The sequence below is a fragment of the Homo sapiens genome, chromosome 6 (assembly GCF_000001405.40).
Source record: "Homo sapiens chromosome 6, GRCh38.p14 Primary Assembly".
Lineage (NCBI taxonomy): Eukaryota > Metazoa > Chordata > Mammalia > Primates > Hominidae > Homo > Homo sapiens.
Window position 1 is genome coordinate 43,380,135 of NC_000006.12, and position 7,417 is coordinate 43,387,551.

Genomic DNA, 7,417 nt, shown 5'->3' on the forward strand with positions numbered 1-7,417 from the left:
CTGTACAATGTCATAGACAGGAGTTCTGTATATGGAGACTTCTTTGAGGACTGGGTGGCCAAAAAAGGCTACCCTCCTTTGTGTAAAAGTTACATTTTGATGTTCTTGGTGATTCTCAAGGCAGTAAGGAGCCAATTTGGCTTGAATGCTGGTTTTTAGAAGGGAATAGGCAAAGATGCATTTGGAAAGGTAACTTGGCATTAATCTGGTAAGAAACATGGATTTCAGAGTAAGGTGTCCAGATTTTACCCTGTCATTGGAGATTTTTGCATAGGATGACAGAATAAAGTGATCTACCCTTTCTGTGTTTTAGGAAGAAGAAAATGACAGGTGCTAAGAGAGAGAGGAAAGGGTAAGACGGGCTGGGACCCTGTATCAGTCAGGGTTTCCAGCTGCAAGAAAGAAAAATGAATTCTTGCTAACAAAAGCAGAAAATAAAGTGGTTGAAATTAAACTGTGCAGTTCACAGTATTGATGGGAAATCTATAAAGAACAAGGCTCAGAAAATCCCTCCTACTGCCTGTTATCCACATATATCCTTCTTCCCATACTTAACTCTTCCAAAAAAAAATTTTCCTGTCCAGCACGCTTTGGACATCCCTTATACAAATGAAAATCACTTACTGCCTCCCTCAAAATAGCCTCAGATTTTAGCAGTCACTACATCCAGTTCCAAGCCCAGGGAGTCTTGTTGATGCCTATTCCTAGTTCTGCCCAGTCTTGTCTTGATATCTTTGTAGATTAGCTTGTAATGTTATCAATCACCAACACATATTTTTTTTTTTTTTTTTGAGATGGAATTTTGCTCTGTCACCCAGGCTGGAGTGTAGTGGCTCAATCTCAGCTCACTGCAACCTCTACCTCCCAGGTGGAAGCAATTCTTATGCCTCAGCCTCATGAGTGGCTGGGACCACAGGCACGCACCACCACGCTTGGCTAATTTTTGTATTTTTTTTTTTTAGTAGAAACGGGGTTTCACCATGTTGGCTGGGCTGGTCTCGAGCGCCTGACCTCAAGTGATCTGCCCGCCTCGGCCTCCCAAAGTTCTGGGATTACAGGCATGAGCCACCGTGCCCGGCCAACACATCATTTACTAAAAAAAAAAAGAGAGAGAGAGAAAAAAGAGAAATCAGTTAAGATATATGAATATATTTAGGAAAAATCAAGGAAAGAAATATGGAAAGAGGCTACCATTCTCATTTCCACAACTAATCAGAAGGCTGTGGGTATTTATGACTTCTGTCCTCTCTACTAGTTCTGTGGTCTCTTTGCCTTTAGGCAGAACCTCAGCTGGTCAGTATATGACCCAAATCTCATTTCTGAGAGATCCAAGCTTTTGGTGGTCCTGCCTGTTCAAGGGGTTAAAGATGTCTTTCATTAACTTTTAGTTCTGATCATGGTTTCATGAGGATGCACCCCAGGGGATCCCCTCTGTACCATCAATATGCCTCTTGACCCCAGTGTGTAACTACAATCTTATTTCTTCACAAAAATCAGGATTAATGACTCAATACCATAACTTACCATAACTTCTTTTTTCCCCGTTGATCTACTGCAGTGAGGAACCCAAAGTGGCCAGTGGCCATCTCACCCTAAACTGTTGTTCCTACTGGTGGAATATTTCTCACCAGCAGAGCTCAGAGTTGATGTAGTGGGGAGAATAATAGTTCCCAAAGATATCCACATCTTAATCCTCAAAACCTATGAATATGTTACATGATAAGAGGGAATTAAGGTTGCAGATGGAATTAAGGTTGCTAATTAGCTGGCCTGAAGATGGGAAAATGATCCTCTATTATCTAAGTGGGCCCAATGTAATCACCAGTGGTTACCTTCTAAAAGCAAGAGGGAGGCAGGAGAGTCAGTATTAGAGCACTCCATCATGGGAAAGATTCGACCAGCCATTGCTGGCTTTGAAAGGGGGGCCATGAGCCAAGAAATGTGGGTAACCTCCAGAAGTTAAAAAAGCCAAGGGAACAGGCAAGATTTGTCACCTAGGGCCTCCAAAAGTAACACAGCCCTGTCCACACCTTAATTTTAGCCCAGTGAGACCCATTTTGGATTTCTGCACTCCAGAGCTGTAAGATAATAAATATGTGTTGTTTTTTACTTTCCAAGTTTGTAGTAATTTGTTAAGGATACAAGTGTATTTTTTTTTTTTTTTGAGAAACTGTCCCACTCTGTTGGCCGGGCTGGCATGATCATGGCTCACTGCAGCCTCAACCTCCTGGGCTCAAGCAATCCTCCCACCCCTCAGCCTCCCAAGTAGCTGAGACTATAGGTATATGCCACCACACCCTGCTAATTTTTTGTACTTTTTGTTGGGACTGGATTTTGCCATGTTCCCCAGGCTGGTCTTGAACTCCTGGGCCCAAGAGATTCCCTTGCCTCAGCCTCCCAAAGTGCCGGGGTTACAGGTGTGAGCTACCACGCCCAGCCACAAGTGTAACTGTAATAGGTACCACCTCACCTATATATCTCATCCCCACCCTTGTATATTTTTGGTTATGAGAGAAATGCTCCACATCGTTGGTCACTATTTCAGAGCTTATGTCACATTCTGTAGGATACCACTCTAATCTTTTTTTTTCTTTCTTTCTTTGAGACAGAGTTTTGCTCTTGTCACCCAGGCTGGAGTACAATGGTGCGATTGCGGCTCACTGCAACCTCCAGCTCCTGGGTTCAAGCTATTCTTCTGCCTCAGCCTCCCGAGTGGCTGGGATTACGGGCATGTGCCAAACACGCTTGGCTAATTTTGTGTTTTTAGTAGAGATGGGGTTTCACCATGTTGGTCAGGCTGGTCTCGAACTCCTGACCTCAAGTGATCCACCCGCCTTGGCCTCCCAAAGTGCTGGGATTACAGGCGTGAGCCACCGTACCCGGCTGATACCGCTATGATCTTATGAGATGTTGTCTCCAGTTGGCAAAATAAAAACTAAGACCTCAGTAAGCCTATTCTATAAGACTAGCTGGAATATACAATAAAACTAAATAAGGAATCCCAGAAGAGTTGAATTGTGTATCCCAGCTGTCTTACTTCTTCCACCGTAAAAGTACTCCCTTGGCCAAAAGCATCATTGTGTGGGATGTCATGTTGAATGCCTTATGAGTCATTCAGTAAGTTTCTGGATGGTGCTGGCAAAAATACAGTGAGTAGGAAAAATATATAGAAATTTAAAGTAAGTTTCTTCTACAATGAAGATAAATTACTGCCCTGTCCATGAAGGAAGAGGTCCAAACTGGCAGTAGCAGGTCAATCTTAGTGTGAGAACGTCCACGTGATTGAGCCTTTACACTCAACATGCATTGCCTCCATCAGTGGTCCCATGGTCACTTTGTTCACAAGCTCATACAGCACACTCTGGTGTAACTAGGGGAAAGGGTGGATACCATCCATAGAGCAGTTCATCTTCTCTACCTGATTGTTGATAACCCTCTTCTACTCACGAGGCACAAATGTTCTCATTATAGTAGATTGGTTTTCTCAACATACGTTCTAAACTCCTTAGACTGGTTTTCTCAACATACATTCTAAACTCCTTCGTACCTTTCTATACTGAGAGTCTAGAAAGATAAAAGCTGTATTTCTCAGATCCTATTACAGTTATGGTTTCAGGTGTAATTGAGATTTTTGCCAATCAGGTATATTCCCATGAGACTTGAATGTGAAACCCAGTTAACTGAGTGATGTGGAGAAAGAGGCAGGATATGAAGTATTCACTTTGCTGCTGTGAATCATGACAGAGGAAGTGTGGTTCTGTGGTTACCGACGTGCTGATTTGCTGGTTTCCTGCAGTGGAAGCCATAGCTTACCCAAGCATAGCAGAATCAGTGAGATTCTGGGTGTGGGGAGTGCTCTTACAAGCTCCACCTAAAGCTTCTTCCCCTACCCCTTACAAATATTGTGTAAGCCACACGTGATCCCTGGTAATAACGCCCTTCTCCCTTAAATTAAGTAGAGTGGTATCTGTGGTCTGCAACTGAATCATGACAGATACTGTCACATTTGGGAACCATTTTAAGAAGTTCTTCCACATTATACTTCTCCAACTTCATTTTAATATCACTTCTAACTCCCTAATCATCTAGCCAAACCATTAACCTCAGACTCTTTTTTTTTTTTTTTTTTTTTGAGATGGAGTCTCGCTCTGTCACCCAGGCCGGAGTGCAGTGGCGCGATCTCAGCTCCCTGCAAGCTCTGCCTCCCAGGTTCACGCAGCTGGAACTACAGGTGCGTGCCGCCATGCCTGGCTAATTTTTTTGGGGTTTTTTTTGTATTTTTTAGTAGAGACGGGGTTTCACCATGCTAGGCAGGATGATCTCGATCTCCTGACCTCGTGATCCACCTGCCTCGGCCTCCCAAAGTGCTGGGATTACAGGCATGAGCCACCGGGCCCGGCCAAATCAGTGTAGACTCTTAACCTGTTTCTCCTTCTGGGAAAACTGGTCAGGTAGTTGTATTTCTTGAAGTCCTGACTATCCTCAGTGTCCTTCAGGGTCACCCTTGATTGGGGGCCACAGTATCACAGCAGCCCATTTCTTTCTAATGCCAGCACATTAGGTGAAGACAGCTACAAACTAATCATGACTTTATTCCACTGCAGTCTGGTAACAAGGCCCATTTCATTGGTTATAGTGGTAGATGAAATAGCAATGCAGCAGAAGTAGTGGTGTGGGTGCTAGGAGCCATTTGTGTTTTCAGGATCTGCTGTGGCCTCATTTTGTGTATGTCATTTCTACTTGATAATGGATCCATGTCCTAGGTATGAACCAGCTTTATACCTAGGAAGACCAGATGATAGCCAGTTCATGATTATGCTGTGATCATGCTGGGTTCCATGATCATGCTGTGTCCGTGGCCCAGCAGCAAGCTGAGAGCTGATTCTCAAAGAGAGAATATTTACCTGCCAAAAGGCATGCTCAGAGGGCCTCTGCTATGATTATTCTATCAGGACATGCCATAGATGATAAAGTACCTCAGTCTGCCACAAACACTTTGAACATTATAAGGATCGCAAGGACTAAGTTGCACTGCAGACTGGACCAGCTGGAGAACCTTTTCTTCCTCTGAATCTCACTCAAGTATGGCTTCATTTCAAGTGACCAGATAAGGAGGTCAGAGCAGTAACCCAAATATGATCAATGTTGTCTCTAAATTCACCTAAGTGATGTGACTCTTTTGGTTTAGGGGTAGGTAGCACAAGTAAAGCAACTTGTCCTTCATTTTGAAGGGAGCACCTGTATGCAAGATCACTAAACATCAAGAAATATCAGTGAAGTGAAAAGCCTTTGTACTTGAACCTCCCTACCTTCCGGTATACATATATTTCCTAAAGCGTGTAAGATACTTGCTATTTTTTACTCCATATGCCCTATTAGTTTGATGTCATGAGTTCAGTGGGCCAGCATATCTTGTGAGATGGTAAGATGGGTCAGGATCCCTATGTGCTAACTTGTAGCAGAGTCAGAAAGTTCATGTAACCATGAGACAGTGTAGATTGATGTGTGTTATATCTGTTGTTTTCTGCTATTAAGCCAAAGAAAAATACTTCACTGGATTAATGTCTTCCTTTTCAATTGCATTTATTTGTTTATTTATTTATTTTACCTTCTTGCCTTCATCAATGTCTTGTTTGTATTTCGTACTTTTCTCTCTCTCTCTCTCTTTCTCTTTCTTTTCATTTTTTAAGAGATAGGGGCCGGGTGCAGTTGCTCATACCTGTAATCCCAGCACTTTGGGAGGCCGAGGCAGGTGGATCACCTGAGGTCAGGAGTTCAAGACCAGCCTGGCCAATATGGTGAAACCCCGTCTGTACTGAAAATACAAAAATTAGCTGGGTGTGGTGGCAGGCACCTGTAATCCCAGCATTTTGGGAGGCTGAGGCAGGAAAATTGCTTGAACCCAAGAGGTGGAGGTTGCAGTGAACTGAGATCAAACCACTGCACTCCAGCCTGGGTGACAGAGCAAGACTCTATCTCAGAAAAAAGAGAGAGAGAGAGAGAGAGAGAGATGGGGTATTCTGTGTTGCCCAGGCTGGTCTCAAACTCCTGGGCTCAAGTGATCCTCCCACCTCAGCCTCCCGAAATGCTGGGATTATGACTGTGAGCCACCATGTGTGGCATCCCTTTCTTTTCACTAACACTCTCTCAAAATAGATGTAACCATTCTTCTGACTTCTAATATCCTTGATCAGTTTTTCTGATTCTTGAACTTCATACACTGGCAGTGTATAAGCACTATACCTGCTCCAGATTCTTGCCAAATATTGGTATTGTCAGGTTTTCTTTTTAATGTAAGCCTTTCTAGTAGATGTAGTACTGTTCTGTGTTTTCTTAGATTCAATTCTGTATTTGTGTATTTGGTATCCATTAATCATAGGGCCAAACTGCCAGCCAAAGTTGTTTACATGTCCCCTGGATCCAGCTTTCACAAGCACACAAAAATCCTCCAACAAATCCTGACATAGAAAACTGTGTTTTCTTAGCAGATGTGATCGTATAGTTTTGTAACCTCATTACTATTATAAATGTAAATAATTCTCATACTTTCTCACCTCTAGAGGGAGCTTCTTTCACAGTTATTCTTGTTCTTTGGCAGCAGTTTAAATGAGGCCAGACTCAATCTCTTTTTGAAAATAAACCTAGCAGAGTTAGGGGTCTTTAGGTTTTCCATCATGCCAATCACTCTCTTCTCATTTGAAGAGACAGTATGAATACTATAAGTATTCACAAACATAGAAATACTGGGCCAGGTGCAGTGGCTCACACTTGTAATCCCAGCACTTTGGGAGGCCAAGGTGGGTGGATCACCTGAGGTCAGGAGTTCGAGACCAGCTTGACCAATATGGTGAAACCTTATCTTTACTAAAAATACAAAAATTAGCCGTGCATGGTGGTGCCTGCCTGTAATCCCAGCTACTCAGGTGGCTGAGGCCCGAGAATCACTTGAACCTGAGAGGCAGAGGTTGCAGTGAGCTGAGATTGCGCCACTGCACTCCAGCCTGGGCGACAGAGTGAGACCCCGTCTCACAACAAACAAACAAAGAAACAAACAAACAAAAAAACACAGTAGGTTTATTTTGAAAGTAATTTTCCCAGGACAAGAGTTTTACATGACCTCCTTTTCAAAGTATACTTCCAATGAATTCACATTAATAGAAAACAGTACAGAGTAAGTTGATAATTATGAATCGTCAGCAAGTCTCCATTTTGCACAAATGGAAATGGAGAAAACAAGATTGATATTTTCCTAAATGTTTTCAATTTAACGCTGCATCATATCAGAGTCTTGGAATTCATTTTATAAAGTGAAAGGATATTTCTCTCTCTGTTGCTTCAAGGAAGAGGGAACATTTTCATTTCCTTTGTAGACACGTTTTTGTTAATTTTTGACACTTGCTTTTTTATAGCCAGTCTC

At 42.8% G+C, this 7,417-nt stretch overlaps 1 annotated feature.

The window, feature by feature from the left end:
* Positions 3,365–3,544: an enhancer, noted in NCBI's record as "active region_24599". NCBI's record gives its function as "activates an Ori minimal core promoter by ATAC-STARR-seq in GM12878 lymphoblastoid cells {active_cell/tissue: GM12878}" and the evidence as "EXISTENCE:reporter gene assay evidence [ECO:0000049][PMID:35858748]".